This window comes from Homo sapiens, chromosome 11 (genome assembly GCF_000001405.40).
Source record: "Homo sapiens chromosome 11, GRCh38.p14 Primary Assembly".
Classification (NCBI taxonomy): Eukaryota; Metazoa; Chordata; class Mammalia; order Primates; family Hominidae; genus Homo; species Homo sapiens.
The window spans coordinates 128,837,409-128,857,257 of NC_000011.10; the positions used below are offsets into that span (position 1 = coordinate 128,837,409).

The 19,849-nt window shown below is 44.7% G+C and overlaps 1 protein-coding gene across 5 annotated transcripts in view, besides 2 other annotated features; it reads right to left on the reverse strand.

The window, feature by feature from the left end:
- KCNJ1 (potassium inwardly rectifying channel subfamily J member 1) overlaps positions 612–19,849 on the reverse strand; it is a 29,277-nt gene continuing 10,039 nt past the window's right edge. For 2 of the 5 annotated variants that reach the window (NM_153766.3, NM_153767.4), the window contains 2 exons: positions 13,313–13,482; positions 612–2,856 (listed from right to left, as the gene is read on the reverse strand). In NM_153766.3, coding sequence (NP_722450.1) covers positions 1,717–2,835 — 1,119 coding nt within the window. In that variant the 5' untranslated portion in view covers positions 2,836–2,856; positions 13,313–13,482 and the 3' untranslated portion in view covers positions 612–1,716. Of the gene's footprint in view, positions 2,857–4,973; positions 5,062–13,312; positions 13,483–19,849 lie in introns of those variants that run through there. The other 3 variants (NM_153764.3, NM_153765.3, NM_000220.6) reach the window with 2 other exon arrangements.
- Positions 4,241–4,450: an enhancer, noted in NCBI's record as "active region_5742". NCBI's record gives its function as "activates an Ori minimal core promoter by ATAC-STARR-seq in GM12878 lymphoblastoid cells {active_cell/tissue: GM12878}" and the evidence as "EXISTENCE:reporter gene assay evidence [ECO:0000049][PMID:35858748]".
- Positions 8,040–8,139: an enhancer, noted in NCBI's record as "active region_5743". NCBI's record gives its function as "activates an Ori minimal core promoter by ATAC-STARR-seq in GM12878 lymphoblastoid cells {active_cell/tissue: GM12878}" and the evidence as "EXISTENCE:reporter gene assay evidence [ECO:0000049][PMID:35858748]".

Genomic DNA, 19,849 nt, shown 5'->3' on the forward strand with positions numbered 1-19,849 from the left:
GCCAGCAGGAGAATACACCAGGAAGAGTGCATGCTGATGGGAACAAGTGTCAACACAGTTTCCCTCCAGTTTATGAAGGGGCTACATCATGACAGTGGGCCAGCAGAGAATTCCAGCTCCCTCAAGCTTGTGATACCTGATTTCTTTTTCCTGTCAGCACATTAAATTGTGGTGCCAAAGCACTCACAGGTACAGAGTGAGAGTTCCACATGGGCCAGCTATGGCCACTGTTATGGCCACTGACAAGGTGTGCAACCCTAAAACCATCAGACTTCCCACTGTTCTTAGTCAGAAGGACCAGAGTGGTGCATGGATCTGTACAAATACAGCCCAGGCATGGAAAAACATAAGCCATCCCTCCCAACAACTGTGGGCAGCTGCCGTTTTATGTGCCAAGACTCACACTGGAGAGGCGTGATGGAGCTGTACCGGAAGGGGTGTGTCTGTGGCCAGGGTCATTTCCTCCTGAGGACTCCAGACAACAAATGTGTCCTATCTGCTTCCTCTCCACTCCTCCCGCCCCTTCCAGGAGAGGGTCCTCTCTGCAAGAGGATTTTCACCTGGAACCTGACTCAGTTAATGCATAGTAATAATAATAATCAAAGTGCATGCACAGTTTCAGAAATTTACTATATTAATCAACACACTGAAAACATTTTGATTCCTAAGCAGCTTTGAGTACCAGTTTTTTTCCAGGACACATTCGGAATGATGCAGGTGGGGATCTGAAGAAGACTTTCACAGTAAAACTTTCCCCTCAAGGTCGAGCCTTCCATAAGCTGGTCCCTTTTAGGAAGATGGGCTGTCAGGGAAAGAAAGACATAGTAACATTCTGACTGTGGGGCTCCATCCCATTCCTCTCTCTTTCCCACTTCTTCTTTAGAAATAGCATTCCAGTACAAACTCTAGGTGGAGGAACACATGAAACTGTTTCTTCTCAGGTGCATTAATGATACATTCCCTTCTCTACTGACTTTGCACCTTCCAACTCCTCATTGCTGTCTTCGAAGAGCAGGAAATGCTCTTTATAAACAGATTTATAGCCCTTTAAGCCATCCAATACAGATTGAAAGAAATATCATCACCACTTTTAACTAAAGCATTCTGTCTTGCAGGAAGGTATCATCAAGATTCTAGTGTGCAGATTTAGCCTCTGTCTAAACGTACCACATGAGAAGCTTAGAGCCTCAAATTGTTCTTTGTGTAAGCGTTTTCTTGTCATTGATTGGTTGGTTCATCTCCCCAAATTAGGAGACAATTTTTCCATGAGTAAAAGTCCACATTAAAAGTGGAGTCATTCTTATCAGTAGAATCAAAATGAGATTATTATTGTCCCCTGATCCTTTCTAAAGTTCATAACTTCTTTAAGGAAACTTTAAAAAATATTTTGTTTGGCCTGTTCATGAAACTTTTGATAATTTTATCTGCTCCAATCCACCTTATATGAGCTCAAATAATCATATTTAAGATTTCAAGAGAGCACCTATGTCTTCCATACACCAGTTTCATATAAATGCATTGCACGTTCTAATACAGTAGCCTTGTGGAGATGCATGTCTTGTGGGATCACAATTGCGGGGCTCAGGGGTCTTTGTGCTGGTAGACTTTGAAGGCTCTCATCCTACTTTCGTACCCCTAAATTGTTGACTGCTTCATAATGCTTCTAGGTACTAGGAGCTTTAGAGACTTTGCTTTACTCCCGTTGAAAAGCCACTGTTACATTTTGGTGTCATCTGTTTCATTGACTTCTGACAAGATGAAGTTGGGGTTGTCATAGCCTCTCTTCATCCTGGCTCTAACATCTTTCTCATTATAAAGGCACATGGCACAGTGAGGGGTCTCCACTTCCACTGTCTTGCTAAAGTTATGGAAATCCACTCGGTATTTCCCTTCCTTTGTCTTGGATACTATGGGAGCAAAACGGTAGCCCCAAAGCACCTCCTCTGGGACATAGGATGTCCGGACTTGGCAGGTAGCACTGGTGGACTCCACTGTGCCATCTAAAAACACCACTAATTCAAAGTCCTGCTGGAGAAGGGTCTCCGCTGCCATGTGGAAGAAAGGGCTGTTGTGATCAATGACATGGTAAATTGTCAATGGGGAGATGAAGAATAAATTTTCATTCCCAGCGTCAACTACAAAGTTGATATTGATCTGGTCCAAAATAATGGTCTCTCCTTCAGGAGTGACTGTGGTCTTCAGAAGCTTTCCATAAATGTGACTGCCAATAAGAAGGCTCTTCCTGAGATTAGCCACTCGGATTAGGAGGCAAAGCTTCCCTCCCCGTTTGCTGATCACTGCGTTCTTGCTGAACGTAATGGTCTTGGCACGTTTTTTGGGCCTGGAGATCTTGGCTAAGATGGCCCCACACATGAAAGAATTGATTATAACTCCAAGTATAGACTGAAAGATAAGCAGAAAAATGGCAGTGGCACACTGTTCTGTCACACACCTGAATCCATATCCAATGGTCACTTGAGTCTCCAGAGAAAACAGAAAAGCTGAGGTCAAGCCATTAATATTCTCCACACAGGGAGTGTGATTGGCAGAAGGATGGAATTCCGGGAGGTCTTTGTGAATGTACGCTACTGCATACCACAGGAGACCAAAGAAAAACCAACTCCCCAAGAAGGCTGTGATGAAAATGGTCATTTTGTATCTCCACTTGAGGTCAAGTACCGTTGTCCAGATGTCCACAAAGAATATAAACCTTGACTGTGCCTCCACATTGCCAAATTCTATGTTGCACCTTCCATCTTTGGAGACTAGCCTTGCTCTTTGCCGAGAATGCCCAAAAAAGCGAGTGACGACCCATTTCCGAAGATGTTTGAACATACTTTCTGTCAACACCCTGATCTGAAAACACATCAAAGAAAAACAAAAAAGGATTATGTTTATAGCAATAGTGAACTAGGTGACCCACATGAAAGACCTAACTACGAAAAGATCATTCAAAATTATCTGGGTTACTAATCATTTGGCAAGCTGACAAGTTTATTCTGGATACCACAATGCTATTTCTGATAGAAACTTTCCACTGGAAGACCATGTTACTCAAACATAAAGAGGCAAAATAATTACAGAGAGCTAGAAATGAAGACAAACTAAGTGATTATATATTCAAGTGTTTCCTGACCTCAATTAGTCTCACACAACCTTAAATATGTTTGTAATAACCAATTATGACCTGTATTTTTATTTATTGAATATTACTTAAATCACCTTCTCATAAGTTTAGCCTTATGTTAAGCAATAATTTCTGAGAAATCACAAACTTGAAGCATTATGTATGTTTTTGAGATATAGAAAAATGAATAACTGACCAATAAAACACTCATCAATATACTACCTAAATCATCTATGTACTTCTATTGATACTCATATATCAAGAAAAATCCTAATTCAATTCTGTTCTCTCATTTATCAAATGAGAAAACTGAGATTTAGAAAATTTAAATAACTTGTCCAAATGCATGTACCTAGCCAGTGGCAGGATGACAACTAGAATATAGGGCTCCCTGCCTCTAGTCTAGGGGAGCTTCTACCACTCCGTGTCTCAGTTATCAAATGTTATATTCTAAAGTCACACTTCCCTAAAATATTTTCAGACAAGTATTGGTCATATTTCTTTTTGTTAAATGCTGAACACTATTTAGAACAGAGCTCAGATCCAACCAGATGGTCTCATAGGGCTTCTCCATAAATCTACAAGCCTGTTCCTACTCTCTCCCCACGGTTTCCCAAGATTCCCAAAAGGAATAGTATGAGAGCCACCATCAACACATCTAACACTTCCTTCCCTACTCCAAAGCTGGAGGACTGGGGAGCACTGATTTAAGTAATACTCCATAAAGACAGACCATACTTTATTCATTCCTATATCACAATTGCTAGCACAGTTGATGAGTGCCTACTGTTTATTCAGTAAACGTAAATGAAATAATTCAGTGAATGAATTACATTTTTCAAAATCCTATTTGCTCAATTGATTTTTTATAGATGACATTACTGTGACTTCCATTGTACAGCAAAATGGTGAAGGGCCTGTCCCATAAACACCTGACAGTGGTGAAACCCAAAGTCATAAACGCTAGATTACCTCCTCCCCCATGCCCAAGAATATCAAGGTGTGCCCACCCTGGTCCGCAATGTCTTCAGGGTATTTTTCATTAAATGCAAATATGTTTTTAAAATAGATTTCAAAATCCCCCTTGAAAAATGTGTTTATTCGTAAGAACTAGGAAGCGAAACCAACTGAGTGATACATTTTAAATAATAGTGATATCCCACAGTGTCTTGTTCAAGGCCTTAACCCAGCTGAAAACACAAGAAGCCAACGCCAAGTCGAAGCGGTGATGAGAAAACCACAGCTGTGGTGATTTGAAATGTTGAGGGCAGGTTCTAAAGACATAAAAAAAGAAAATGCTGCCAAGAGAATAAACAGCAATGCACATAGTCAAGAGGGCCCTCCTCTCATCCCACACTGCCCTCACTGACCTCAAGTCCCCAGTGAGGATTAGGGGATGGTGCATGTGAGGTACAGAGAAGGAAATGGTCTTCTCCTTTCCTTGTACACACATCCTTTACCCTGGTCTACACCCATGTGGACTGACCTCTCTCCCAGGTGCATTCAGGGTCACACTGTTTACCCAGCTCTCCAGAGAGTGACTCTCAGCTCAAATAGTAAATTCTAAAACCAACATTTATCAATTGAATCCACATTCTCTTTGTCATACATTATAATTCCAGAGATGGCTCCTAACACACCAACTTCTGAGTTTTTTTCCCAGCACCCTGCTCCTCTAGCCTCCCTTAATTTCATTTTACTTTTAAAGGTAAAGAAGATTTCTGTAGAGTGAAGAAGTACCCCCTGATTGATCACTTGAATAACGTTGAGTTTCCATGACTGCATTAATGATGAAACATTATCTGCCTGGCTTTCCAGAGAGGTGATTTCCCCAGCCTCCACTTACCAACGTGTCAAACACATTCCGACTGGAAGCATTCATGGCTGGAAAAAGCAAGGAAGTGGTGCTGGTTGTTGGTCTTTCTATGCAGACTGATTTCTTTTAGACTCAGCCTAATTTATTGTAGGCGACAGTCAGTGGACTGACGCTAATTTGTGTAAACTTGGAAACACTTAATTTGATAGTGGAGTCGTGTGATTTAAACCAAGGCAATTGGTTGTTCTCAGACCAAGCCCCAAGCTGAATAGGTATTTTTTCTTTCCAACATCACATGGCTTGAATACCAACATGCTAAGACATGACAAGCCATCAGCTAAGGTCTCTGGGCAGCAGGCATGGATTGGGTTCCAGCATTGCCTTCCTCTCCTTGGCCACGCTCTATCGCTCACTTGTTTCTCCTAAAAGTTGTGCCTAATAACAACTGGCCGGAAACACTTACTTATCATCAATCTCCCGGCCTATTCTCTGAAACCCACTGAAATACTGAGTTTTCCAAGGGTTCACAAAGATGCAGGTGAACATACAGACATAAGTACATATTTACAAGACAAAAGTAAGATCACACCAGGAAGAAACAAGATACCATGTTAATCTCTCCATACAACAGTTATGTAAGAAACAGACTTAAAAGAAGTCTTTATTGTTGGAAGTCTTTATTATTCGGGAAAACCTGGCATTTACTGAAGGTGTTTTTTACATGCACTGGGTTAGCCAATGCTATTGATTTATTTGTTCAGAGTGAGAGGGATTATTCTTAGAGAATGCAATGATACAGGATAAATTCATCCACTAACCAAAACTGTCATTCACATGGCAGACCTATTATTGCACAGATCCTACTTTTTTTAGATAATGGCATTTAATCTAACCACAGACAGAGCCAATATGTATTTTATGAACTCTTAGGTGATTAGAGATTGTCCCTGGTGTCTGGGTTATATAATATGCTCAGTTTTTAGGTTCCTTTCTATTGAAATCAGTAAATCTTAATAGCAAGCAAAGGGCTGCACATTAGCTAATATTTACCAAGGTATTTTTAGTGGCTTGGCAAAACAAGCGGATTACATTACTGCCACTTTTTCTTTAGTGCCTCAGCATTCTTGTTCTATAAACAATCCATTCTCAGAAAATAGACATTTTGTGCACTTCCCAAACACTGATTGTATGCTTGTTCTGTAGGATTTCAAAGACAAATAGAACTCTTCCTGTTCTCAAGGAGTTCATAGTCTAATGGGGAAGTGAACTAAGGAAATCAACCACAACCGAGCATGGTTGGTATAATGCCAAAAAGAATAACTTTTTAAAAAGATCCCCATCAGCTGGGGATCCACCCTTTCTTTGCAAACATACTTCAACTGGCAGAAAACTCATTGCATTTATGTATACATTAATTTATTTATCAATCACTATTCAATGATGATATGTTGATACCCAATGTTGACTGTGTGTGCTGACCATTGTGCTAGACATCAGAGAAGTAATGGACTCAGTCCTTGTTATCATGCAACTCCCATTTCAGCAGAGAGGGTGGTGCAAATGTGTCAATAATCTATGAAATGACCAGTGATGAATGCCAGGATATGAAACAGTGGGAGCACTCTGGGGAGCACCTATTTTGATGAGCAGAACTGTAACCCTGAGGCCAAGCCCTGAAGATGAGTTAGAGTCACATATAGTAGAAACTCTATAAATATTTGCTGAATGATGATAAATACATTAATCAATGAGAATATAAAATCAATGAGCTTACTGTCACTTATATCACATAGTATCTGGTGGCTCCCACTCTAATGGAGATGTCTTGTGTGTGCACTACTAACCACACTACAGGGTAGTCTTCTGTGTGACCCAGGCAGGGGCAACCAAGGAAAGAAAACATGGGGGAGCTGAAAGAAGTTCCAAGTAAGCAAATAATGGAGCATAGAAAGCCTCAGTGAGACACTGGGCTGCAAAGGCAAGCTAGGGCCAACGGACTCTGCACTTGGTGTACCATTTGACAGGTTTTTTTCATAGAACGAAAGGAGAAACTGTTATAAAGAACATTGTTCTAGTTGTGCTTCAGAGAAATCTCATTAAAATTCTAAATAAGTCTGAAGTCTCCTCCATTTAACAGCCCTTCAAATTCTTGAAAGCAAACATATTTTCTTCCTGAATTTCCTTTTCTCCATAAAAATATGTGCTTCATTTTTATGCAACATCTACTTTAATCAGCATGTGCTCATTTTAAGGGAGGGACCAACAGTTTGTGGTCCTTACTGAATCTGATGAACCCAGGTGCAGAAGCTCTTCTTCCACAGACATCCACTTGAGAACAATTCATTCAGAATTTGGGATTTCTTACAGCACTTACCACCCCAGCCTGCTCAGCAGTCAAACAGCCACTATGTCAAAGAGGGGAAAGGGAAAATAGGCATGGCTGTTACCGCTTCTGATTTAGAATTAAAAGTCTATTGTTCCTCTATAGAAATGGAAAAAAAAAAAACACTTATTGCAGTCTGCCTTTCAGCCAAACCTCTCATAGCTCATGCACATCCTTAGGTAACTTTAGGACATTTCTGAGAGTCAGGATTTCAGATTAGAGGTAGGAAATATGAGCTATGTGGCCTGAGAGGAGAAGTCAGATGATTTTCTCTAGTCCCTTTCTAACCGTGATGGAGAAGAAATTCGTTTCTATGAAAAAATTACTGCTTTGTCAACAGTCGATTGAATCTGGAAACATTTCTTGAGGATTTTCCATTGCAATGATTGAATGGGATTATGGGGCAGAGCCCCTTCCTTCTTAATCAATATAATTAAACAAACACATTATTTATTGAGCATCTACTATATACCAGGTGCTATGCTAGGAAACAATGCAAGGTAACAGTCCCTGCTCTCAAGTTGTTCACGAATAAGTAATTCAAGAATTGTAATGTGGCAGGTTTGCTGCCTTGAAATGATTGAGGACACGATGTTAAGGCAGTCCCAAAGAGGAGACCCAGAAGGTTGGGTGGGTGTTGGGCTTGTATTCTTACTCAGCTTTGCTAAGGAAGGAAAACAAGTGCATCTAACTGCTGCTGTGGAGGACTTCCTGTTTTCTATGAAAATCATCTCAAGCTATTGGAGGATCACCACCCTGCTGGATCTGCAAAGGTTCAGAGCCCCGAGAAGCAGTAAACCATCTAGCTCCACAGACTACACTTATCACATCCAGAACCTGTAGTAGACAGAGAGTGGCATTTCCCTTCTGTTCGGTAATGCCAGAGAAGTTATCTCTGATGTCTTTACCACTATCAGGCAGCTCACATGGGAACAGCATGGGCTCTTTTTAGATAGAACTTGGCAAGGCTGGTAGAAACCATCTTTCCTGGCCTCATGGGCATAGAAGAGGGCATCTGAGCTTCAGGACTCTTCCAGGCTAGACTTGGGAATGCACTTCAGGAATACCCTACTTTTTTGTAGGGTGAGCATACTCCTGGGTCCCCACTGCTATGAACCAGAGTGTGTCTGTATCCAGGGTGTGTGTACAGCAAGGGCCTTCCTAGGTGCCTCCCTCCTTCCAGAGAAGAGAGCTTGGGGAAAAAGGGCTGAAGCATCACAAGGTCTGATGGTGTTGGTACTCTCAGGAGGCACACTGTGTTCTGTAGGCGTCTCTGGGCCAGCCATCCAGAGTATCACTTTCTGAATAACTTGTCCTTTTGTGCACAGGGGATCAGGAGAAGATAGGAGATCCTGGCCAGTAATGTTCCCAGAAGAGGTAACAGCTAGGGGCAGCATGGCAGAGTCGACGGGCTTCTAGCTCGGGTTAGCACAGACATTGATTTGAACCCTATCTCTGCCACCCAAGAGTCAGGTGAGCTAAGCAAACCACTGACCTTTGCTGATACAGGTGAGTTTCCTCACCTGTGAAATGGCTATAATATACTCTCAAACATTGTTGTATGATTTAAATGCAATAGCATAGGTAAAGTTCCTAGAAAATAGTAATTATGCAATAAATAGCTACAATTATTATAACTGGTTCCCAAATTTCAAACTAGCATGGCAGTTTAATCAGGGGTCACTGGTCCAGGCCAATCGGGGTCTACCTCCTGGAGCGAAATGGGCCATATTGGAGACTACAGCCAATGGAGGAAAAGGCTTCCGTGAGAGTGATGAAGGTTCTGACAACATATCTGGTCTATCAACTATGCTAGCTTCAGAGCCCATCCTCCCAGTGCGCAACAGAAGATCTGGAAAATACAAACATGTTTTATAAAGGTTTTCTCTATAATCAGGGCAAAAGACTTGTCTTGGAGAGGTGGGAACAGGATAGAGGGAGAGAATTATCCTTGGCAAGGCTGAACAGAGCGACGGTACCGAGGCTTGATGCTGTTCTTCTCTCACCCTAGGATTAGGATTAACTAGGATTGGATCTGTGGAAAAGCAGGCCACTGGAAGGTGACCTCGTACTACCGGCGAGGTCTTGGTTCTCCTGGCACATGAGGCTGGGTCTTGCTCCTGTTAAACACAAGCAATCTCACAAATCATCAGCCTCAGACCAGGCCACTCAGATCATGATGGATTGGGATAAAACAAGGCCACTCTGTAATCATGTCTGAACACCAACAAAACACAAACATTGTCCAAGCCACAAAATGGCCGAATATCCCCCCATCCTGATGAGTGTCTGCTGTTTCTTTCCCCAGAACAGCTTTAGTCTCATGTCAGTCTTCTCACCTAGATAATAAGAATTATCAACATATTTGATCATAGAATCATCACTACTCCCTAACAGCCCCTAATCCAGAGCAAAGCATTGCTTCCTTAAGCCTCCCCCGCCGCATCACCTGAAACATGCCCAGATCCTATGCAAGTCCTTTCCAAAACCCTCTCAGTGAGACGCCCCATGATTGTTTATGGTGCAGTTCTCCATAGCTGCAAAAAGTCCAACTTGCTCAAATACAGGGTACTACTGGTGCTTTCTGACTGGAGGGCACTGACCACTGAAGACCCTAAGAGCACAGGAAATAAGTGTAACTATAACACAACAAAACCACTTTACAAGCCCACTGGTGAGAACCAATTCCATTCCGTGGCTTCCACAAGTCTTACATGCCTATGTGCAATTGGTACATATGTTTGTTTCTGTATGAAGAAGTGAAGAATCAAGGATATAGCCAAGTTAAATAGAAAAAGCCATTAAAATGAGTTAAAAATTTCAAGTTCGGCTTTTGAATTCTATCTAGCTAACTTGTTTCCCAAAGCCATTGGTTATCCTAAGATAACTATACTCTGACCACAAAAACCTATACCTCTTCTTGGCACCTTGATTGGGTCCCAGTGGGAAGCGCTGGAAGCTGTGATGTCCCCACCACTGGGAGCTAGTGAAGCCTGAACCCGGGCAGGGTGTTTGTGAGGTCTTACCAGTCTTTGGTGGCAGCCCACATTTGCTGTAGTCAGAAATCAATGCTTTGGAAGGTGAATGCTTATCCTGTATGTATTTTCTTTTTCATTTCTTTTCTTTTGTTTCTTATTTGTTTATTTATTTTTGAGACAGGGTCTCACTCTGTCATCCAGATTGGAGTGCAGTGGTGCAATCACGGCTCACTGCATCCTCGACCTCCTGGGCTCAAGAGATCCTCCTGCCTCAGCCTCAAAGTACCTGAGACCAGCTGGGCCCAGTGGCTCACGCCTGTAATCCCAGCACTTTGGGAGGCCGAGGTGGGTGGATCACGAGGTCAGGAGATCGAGACCATCCTGGCTAACATGGTGAAACTCCGTCTCTACTAAAAATACAAAAAATTAGCCGGGCGTGGTGGCGGGCGCCTGTAGTTCCAGCTACTCAGGAGGCTGAGGCAGGAGAATGGTGTGAACCCGGGAGGCGGAGCTTGCAGTGAGCCAAGATCGCACCACTGCACTCCAGCCTGGGTGACAGAGCAAGACTCCGTCTCAAAAAAAAAAAAAAAAAAAAAAAGTACCTGAGACCACGGGTGTGCACCACCATGCCCAGCTGATTTTGTTGTTATTATTGTTTTTGCAGAGATGGAGTCTTACTATGTTTCCCAGGCTGGTCTTGAACTCCTGGCCTCAAGCAATCCTCCTCCCTCAGCCTCCCAAAGTGCTGAGATTACGGGTGTGAGCCACCATGCCTGGCCTCTGTATTTCCAATATTGTTTCCTGTTGTTCTTCATAATAGTTTCTTAAGATATTTCAGAAATGCTAGCATGTCTCAGCTGTATGAAGAAAGACCAAAAGAAGCACTTGATCCCTGCCCTGTTCAGAGTTTTAAAGAGAGAGCAGCACATCCTCAGGGGCTGTGAGGAACAGTGACAAGGAGCTGGAGCACCCTAGGGGACAGGAGAAACTCACTGCCACACAATGGGAGCTACTTGGCTATACTAGAGATTTTCTAAGAATTTTTCTCTTCTAAAATTCAGAGTACTGCACTTTAAGGGAAAGTGTTGCTTTATTGGATATAAGTGGATTGAGCCAGGGTTGAGAAGGTAAACCAAGGTAAAAATGGAAGTGCAAGGCACAGATGAATGAAGAAAAAGGCTGGGGCTGATAACAGTCTCCAGAGAGTGTGGAATGGCCATTAAGGCGGCCAGAATGGGCTTCTGTAGTCTGCTGCCCGTTGCTGGAGACACACGCTGCGGCAGTCTCAGTGAACAGCGCCCCCTGGAGCACGATGCCAGCGGTGCCCCTCTGGAGTAGTGGCATTCTGGGCCCCCAAAGGCCTGTAGTGTCATCCGAGGCACGGATACAAAATCTCTTAAAGGTGTTGTTGGATTTAAACTCATGGTAACTCTAGGAGGCTGGGAACTGAGGCTCAGAGAAGTTAAGCAACTTATCCAAGGTCACAAAGCAGAAAGCCCAAAGAGCAAAGATTAGAAGAATCTAGATCTTCCCAACTGACAAGTCTTTGCTTTTAAGCCCTAAAGCATATGTAACACAGTTGGTAAACAATGTAGAGGGAAAGTAAATATTTATTCAGCATCAACTTACTCTGCGCCAGGAATGGTTTTCTATACATTTCCTTGCTTTGTGTGAGTGATCACATGAGAGGGTGAGAGCTAGCAAGGGTCCAAACCTTTTTAGATAGTGAGCATAAAAGGATCAGGAGGGGACAGTTTTCTGGGGTTTTGCAGCATCTACAAAAGCACTACAAGAGGAGGAAGGAGAGAGCTCGATGGAGAGGGCAGCAGGTACCCTGGGTTGGATCTGAGGGTGTGTGTTGGAGGAGAAGACCATAGGCCCTGATGTCATGAGAGGGGCCTGGCAGAGCCAGGCAGAGTTTAGAAATGGTTATGATATCAACAGAATTAAGAAGCAGCCATGAGAGCAGCTGAAGATACACTGTCCAGCATCATACTTTTTTTTGGAAGCTTCTGTGGATTGTCCTGGCATAAGCAAACGGCCTGAGGTTGTGGGAGTGACATTTTACACTTAGGGACATCTGTAGGCCTCTACAGGGTGTTGTTACTTCTTCTATAGGCAGAAGTTTGGTGTGATGACAATGGCTCCTGTGGGAAGAGGAGGCAACACCTCCAACCCCTCCTGCCCGCCCGCCAACCCACCACCTGGTGGATAAGGCAAACCTGCCAGTGACGATGAGCCAGCCCCATACACTCACTGCTCTAGCAGAGGGCAAAGCTCTTGACCTTGGAGTCAGTACTGAGGTCATGTCCAGGAAGCAGACTGGGAATACAAAGGCAAAAAAGGACACATCGGAGGGCCCCCCCGCCTCCAACCATAGAGGCTGGAGCAGGTCGTTTAACCTCTCTGGGCCTACATCACCTGCTATTTCCTCGGCTGGAAACCCTTGGAGCTCTACTCTCCCCCACGCCACACCCACCCCCTTGCCAACTTCTTGACCTCAAGTTAAATGTCATTTCTCAGAAAGACATTTAAATGTCAGTTTCTCAAAGAAGGAAGAAGATCCCCCTCCCCATTTAAATCAAGTTTCCTCTCCTTGCAAAATTTGACTGTATGCTTTCCTTTCATTTGTGGTATGAACAGTAATTTTAACTGATACATTTACTTTTGTGCTGTCTCCTCCACTGCCATGTCCCCAGTCCCTGCCTACCCCAGCACCAGGCAGAGAACAGAGGCTCAACAGGTATCTGTCAAGGAAATAAACAGATATAGGAAGGTGTAAATGACTCAAAGTGCTTGATTTTTGAAAGGGGCTGTGGAGAGAGCAATGCCAGCCTAACACCACTCTCTGATGCTGGTGGTGGGACTCAGTACTTGCAGAACCTGCAAGGGCAAATGACTAGGTCCCACAGCCTTTGCTTAAGAGGCTCTGCATAACCAAATGCTTACCTAGCTTTCTTGTAGCCTGGGGTGTCCAATAGTTGCTTATTGAAAATCAAGCCACTCACCTCTGTCAGAAGAGGTTCAGGAGATGATTTTCAAAACTTCATGTATAAGTAGATCTTGGGGTGACCAGCAAGAGCTGCTTGGTTTGGGATTCCACCTGTGGGGCTCAGAACTTGTCACACTGTCTTTGTCAGGGCCCAGGATGGGGATGAAGGCACAGTAGAGAAGAAACCTGGTAAAATACAACACATATGGCTACTGTCTGGAGACAGAGGACAGGCCCACACAGAAGCCAGGGTGAAACTTCAGTTAGTTTGGACCAGGAACACACAGGACCCTCCACATCAGCAAAGGTAGAAAGGTCAGCTTGGGCTCCAGTGGACTCAACTTTAACCCAAGTTCTCAAACCTCTACCACACACTGAGGCCACATCTCCCTAACTAGCCCATTCTAGTTTCTAGTGAATTTAGGATTGAAAAGTAAATTAACACAATGATCCACAGTCTTTCCTGTTCTCATGGTCTGTTTATTCTTATTACTATTAAAAAGAACACCACTGCCTTGAAAATATCATTGTACACATCTAGATATATAATTCCATATTGAAATCACTGTATACTCTCAAAAGATGTATGTAGACAGAAATTGTGTATGGTGAATCATATTACATATGCATTAGGATATTAGATATTTATAGGAATCCTATAGTGGATTATTTTATAAAGTGAAGAATAATTTTTGCAAATCAAATAATCATTCTTCCACTTGTTTATCCTGTGTGTGTGTTGAGGAGGAGATGGTTGTTCTAAAAACCGGATAAATCTGTAATGAAACTGTTCTTAAGTCTCATATTCAGCCACCCACCTCAAATGGCACTGGAGTTTAATGAAGGAATTCCAGTGTTTATTAAAAAGTTGTAGCTATTATGTGTGCAGAGATCTGTTATTAGTCTGACCCTTCTAGTTCTGTGTGGTTTGGGTTGGTATTAAATCAACTCAGTCTTTCCAGACCAGAAAGGAATGGATTCCATGTGGACGGGAGGCCTGAACATGCTTTACCGAGCGTCTGCAACAAGAATGTACACTTTGTTTTAAAGAAAACATATAGGATGCCCAACCTTGACAATTTATAAAATGGAAAAAATTCAACTAATGTCTTCAGTATGGACACTCGGAGACTAGTATTCATTATGTTGCATGAGGCAAAGAAGGCTGGTGTAGCCCAGCTTCCACAGACACACAAGATCTAAGGCACAGAGCACCACGTGCTTGGGTTTGGAGAGGGATTTGGATGCCTTCTAGGCCCACACCTTAGCGTGTTTGAAGTTTCTCTGTCCCAGTCCCAACAAGTGGCCTATGGGGTAAGATTTAAGAAGTGGGTTTCCAGTGTTTGAATCTGAAATCAGTCACTTACTAGCTCTAACATTGGGTATTCAGTGTGTCAATTTCCTCATCTGAAAAATGGGGGCTTTTATATCTATCTTACAGATGGATGGAAAGAGCTTAGACCACACTTGGACATAGAACGTGATCAAGCTGTTAATACCTTGAGTCATACTACGTGCAACTCCAGTTTCTCCTTCAAGCTCCTGCCATGCATTGAATGAAAGGAGGCAATCTTGTCCCTATCTGTGAGGCCTTTAATCCTGGGCTGCTCTTGCTACTGTGCAGGCTGCAATAGCATCCTGCTTCTCAGAAAGGAGGTGAGAAGAGCCAGGCTCTAGGGGATTAGTGGAAGAGCCAGCATTTCTGTTGACTCCGTTGCTATGCCCACGGGTATCATTGACCCTCAAAGGGTCAATGATTACCAGTTTCGGCTTGGGTTCTGCCAAGCCATCAGAGTTACATTAATGGAGCGGCACGTCATATCACCCACCCTCCCATGTTCAAGTGCTTTCTGGGAAAGCCCTGGAGCCAGAGGGAGCAGAGCCAGCAGCTTCGGTGACCCTTTGTTCCATGCCATAGAGCTGCCCTTCAGCAAATGCTGGAGTCTTCTCACTGGGGCTCTTCTTGCTGGCATTTAGCATGCCCCCATCCTCATTACCGGGCACAGCCCACCCAGGAGCCCTCTCAGAACAGGACACTGCCCGGGAGACTTCCCAGCTGCGTCCTCCAGCAAATGTCTTGAACTGCTCTTGACCAATCCTCGTGTCTGCCTCTGAAACAAGGAAGACAAGCAGGAAGGGGGGCATCCCCCTAGACCTTAGAGCCATGCCAAGGCAGGCAAGCTCAGGGCCCTCACTGAGACCGACCTCTCAGGAGAGGCCGGTGGTACCTACAAAAGGCCTGCTGACGCACTTTCTCTCATTCCTTTCCTTGTTTCTTTTCACTCAGTGGTGTGTATAATGACCTGGAAAAGGTAAAATTAAATTCCACTTTATTTCCACTTATTTGCCATTCTATCAAAATCAAGCCAAATCAAAAGAAGCGTTTCAGTCTCAAAGACGTTCCTTAACCTCTCTGAGCTGCACTTTTCCATACTATATTGATGATTCTAGTGCCTTTGTTGTTATGAGGATTCAGTGAGAAATACACATATCCACGTAAAATGAGTATGTGAATAGCAGGATTATTCATAATAGCCAAAGAGTGGAAGCTTTTGAAACAGTTGATGTCCATCAGCTGATGAATCAATAAATAAAATGTGACATATCCATACAGTGGAATATTATTCAGCTCTAAAAAGGAATAAAGTACTGGTAGATACTACAACATGGATGGACCTGGAAAACATTTGGCCAGTGAAAGAGGCCAGAGATTGTATGATTCCATGTAGATGAGATGTTAGAATAGGCAAATCTACAGAGAAAGAGAGTTAGACTGGTGGCTGCCAGGGGCTGGGGAAGAGGCGGATGGGGAGTGACTGCTAATGGGCACCAGGTTCTTTTGGGGGTGATGAAAATGTTCCGGTATTGATTGTAATGATGGCTGTGCAACTCTGTGAATACACTGAAAACCACCTCTTACACACTTCAAATTAGTGGGTTTTATTTTATGAGAATTATATTGCAATAAAGCTGGGATAGAAAAAACACACATGTAAAGTGCCTGTCACACAGTACAGTCGCGACCGACTTCCCCTCAACTCTCAACCCACTTCCCCATGCCTTTGGGCCCTTGTTGGAACCTCGGCTGAACTCAGCACCTGCCTTCTCTAGCAAGTGGTTACTGTGCTCCTGAAGGCACCACCATCAGAATGATTTTCTCTGCCACAAGAGCTTGGAGTACGGAAAGTATTATTCTGCTCACCCTCACTGCTAAACAGAACCTCTGCTAGTGTGGGAGATGTCTCTTCTCCCAGGGTCTGCAGGAGAAGCTCTTCCCTGCTGCTGCCCAGGTGTGTTTGGGTGAAGCAGTCCAGGCTGGCCCGTGGGCCCTCATACCCACCCACCCACCCATCCACCTGCACCTGGGCTCTGCAGGTCTGAGAACGGTGTTTGGTTACGATCCTGGGTTGGCAGCTCCAGGGTGAAGTCCCTCACACCTCCCAGTGCCAGAGGGCAGGTCTGTGGGATGGGAGGAAACTCACAGGGTCCCTCCTACTGCACCAGCCAAGCAAGAGCTCCTTCTCTCGGCTCTCCTGGGAGCTCGGTTTCTTTTCTCCCTCTTTCTCCTTCTTTCAGCACATCTTTTGTTTGAATGTTTTTGAGCATTTTATTCCTTGCCCATAGCCCTTGTTGTATTCCTGGAGTCAGCAGCGCGGATGTTCCAATTCCCATTTGAGCCAGCCCCTCCAGAGACTCAGCATGACCTCGCAGACAAGCCAGAGGCCCACGGGCCCATTCAAAACCCCGCCTTGCCCCACATTTCCCCCGTGCCACTACTTACCTCTGCTCCCCACCCCACACCACATACACCAAGGAGAGAGAGGGATGGAACGTGACTGGGATGGGGACCTTGCTGCTTTCTTGGGTGACAACAGGGCACAGAGTTGTGTTGAGTCTACATTCAAGGACTCACGGGAGAATGACAGAAACCTCCCACTGTGCATGTCCAGAGGCTGGGCCCTTTCTCAAAGGCAGGGCTGGATGTTCCTTGCGTACTTCCTGAATAAGGGCCACTATCAAGAGCTACAAAGAATGTCCCCAACCACCACCTCTCAACATCCTAATCTGGATTAGCACAAATCGTAATGATCTGTTTGATGACACACCTGCAGGGCCAAACCTAGATCTTCTTAAGTATCATAGATGCACGATGGGTTTGGGGAAAGAAACTGAAGCCCCTGGTGTGCTATGAGTACTAACTCCTATGAAAAGAAACAAGGTGGTCTAGCTGGAGCGCACGTGCAGGCTCCCCACTGAGTCTCTGGCCTTGAAACACGTATCTGGAGTCAGGCTTGAATTCCAGCTCTGCAGCTTACTGGTGCATGACCCAGCAGCTCACCTGGGGATTTTACAGAGCTAATTTCTCAATGTAATCGATTAAGCCTGGAAAACAAACAAAAAATAGTTGCTAAGAAACGTAAGGAGCAGTAAAAACCCTGGAGCTCATTGTGAGCTGTTTACGGTTTTTCTTTCCTTTTCTTTTCTTTTTTGTTGTTTTGGACATACTGTCTTCCTGATTCACTTTTCTTACCCTCCCACATTTCCAATAATTGTACCCATTTTCAGTGATGGGTTTATTCTTTTTCCCCAACATCATTTGAGTCCTGACCTTTCCCACCTTGCCAAGGTCCCCTGAGCTTCACTGGAGCAGATGGAGAAAAGAGGATAGAAGGAAGCCCTCTAGGAATTGTGATGAGATTGACAACTGGGCTTAGTACTAACCAAAATGCTGGCTCCCTGGCACCCAGAGGGTGTGAGGTCCAAGCTGTGATCAGCATTAAGATTGAAGACATTATTGCAAAGAGGCAGCAAATGAGGTTGGCAAAGCAAAGATGGGGCTCCACAGGTGCCTTGAAAATAGTGAGGGGATAGGCTATAAGGCGGTGTAGAGCTGGGCTTAAACGTCACCTCTTCCACTTGTTATCAGAGTGAGTTATTTGGCTTCTCTAAACCTGAACGTTCTCCTCCATGAACATGGAAATAAGGAAATCTGTTTCCCAATGCTGAGATAGGATTAAGTGTGGGAAGGCCCAGTAGAGGATCTGGTATGGGGAAAGCCACAATAAATGCCAGGCTCCTTCCTTGTTTAGCAGGGCTGAGGGGCTCTGATGAAGAGATCAGGACTGGGACAGCCAAAGGCTGAGTTGGCACTTGGGGAAATCAGTTTTAACTCCCAGGTCTGGATTTGGGCAGGCAGCTCTCACCTGCCAGACCCAAGGACGGTACCACTGTGCCTGTGTGAGCTGCAGAGGAAATGCAGGAAGGATGCATAGTCCTGCTCGGGGCTCTTGCCAGGTCTTGGGAAGTCTTCTTTCTCCCTCCCCTCATCCCCTCCTGGAGCCTCTTAAAGAAGGTTCTCCCACCAGAACTTCCGGGCGGGAAAAGACAGCAGGCTCTGAGCTGCTTTCAAGGGGCCTGTCAGAAGCATCTTTGTGTACATGAGGCCCAGAGGGAGAAGACTGTTTATCCGGCTGCTAGGGACAAATTAATGAAGTGGTGAAAGGCTGTGGATCAGAGAGAAAAAGATTGCCCATGGAATGATGAGATTAGGTTAGACGAGAAGGATGCAATTGTGCCAGACCAACTGAATTTCCTCTGAGGTTAGCACGACCAGCCTTCCAGACCCGGAGGCAACCAGGGCACAGGGCTTGGTGATGGATGCCTGGCGTGATCCTTTCTCTGGAAGCTCTTGGCCAGGGTTGCAGGTACCATGGCCACCAGGCTGGGGTGAGAGGTGCATGTGCACCCTCAGAGTGCAGGGCAGAGAGAGGACCGCAGAAGAGGGAGCAGGGGAGGGGCAGCTCCACATGTGATGTACGCTGGGACAGCACATCTGGGCATAGGCATCTTGGACTGAAATTCCTACTCTAAAAAAATGTCCTAGCACCATCTTCTTTTCCTTCTTAGCACTGAATACAACTGATTTCATGTTGGTTTTGTTCAATTCAGATCATCCTCAGCCCTGTCAATGGCACACCCACCCCCGAGTCAAGCAAAACCTTGATTCACCCTTAATTCTTTTCTTCCTCTCACCTCACACGCAATCCATCAGCAAATCTTGTCTGCTCTTTCTACACAATATAGTCAGGACCTGTCTGTCCTCTTCTCTTCATCTCCTCTGCTTGCCAGGCCACCATAATTCCTTGGTTGGGCTACAAAACTCGCCTGCTCCTTGATCTGTCCACCGCCTCTTTCTCCTCATAATAGAGTCCACACCGTCAGAGTGAGGAAGGAGTCCTGAAAATCGGATCATGCTGCTGCCTTGCTGAGACCTTTCTCAGCTTCCCCCTGTTCTGATGACCTCAAGGCCCCATATAGCCAGGACTCTGCCACACTCCACAGCCCAAAGTCATCCCCTCTGTCACCTAGCTCACTATGTTCCCACCCCCTCTGCTCTGCAATGTGCGGCGCAGCTCCTGCCCTGGGCTTCGGCACCTGCTGCTTCCTCCTTCAGGGCTGCTCCGCTCTAGGCCTTCCCATGTCTGGCTGCTCCATGTCGCTAGGGACCTAGCTCCATCACCACCTTCTTCGAGAGCCTTTTAGCATCCAATCT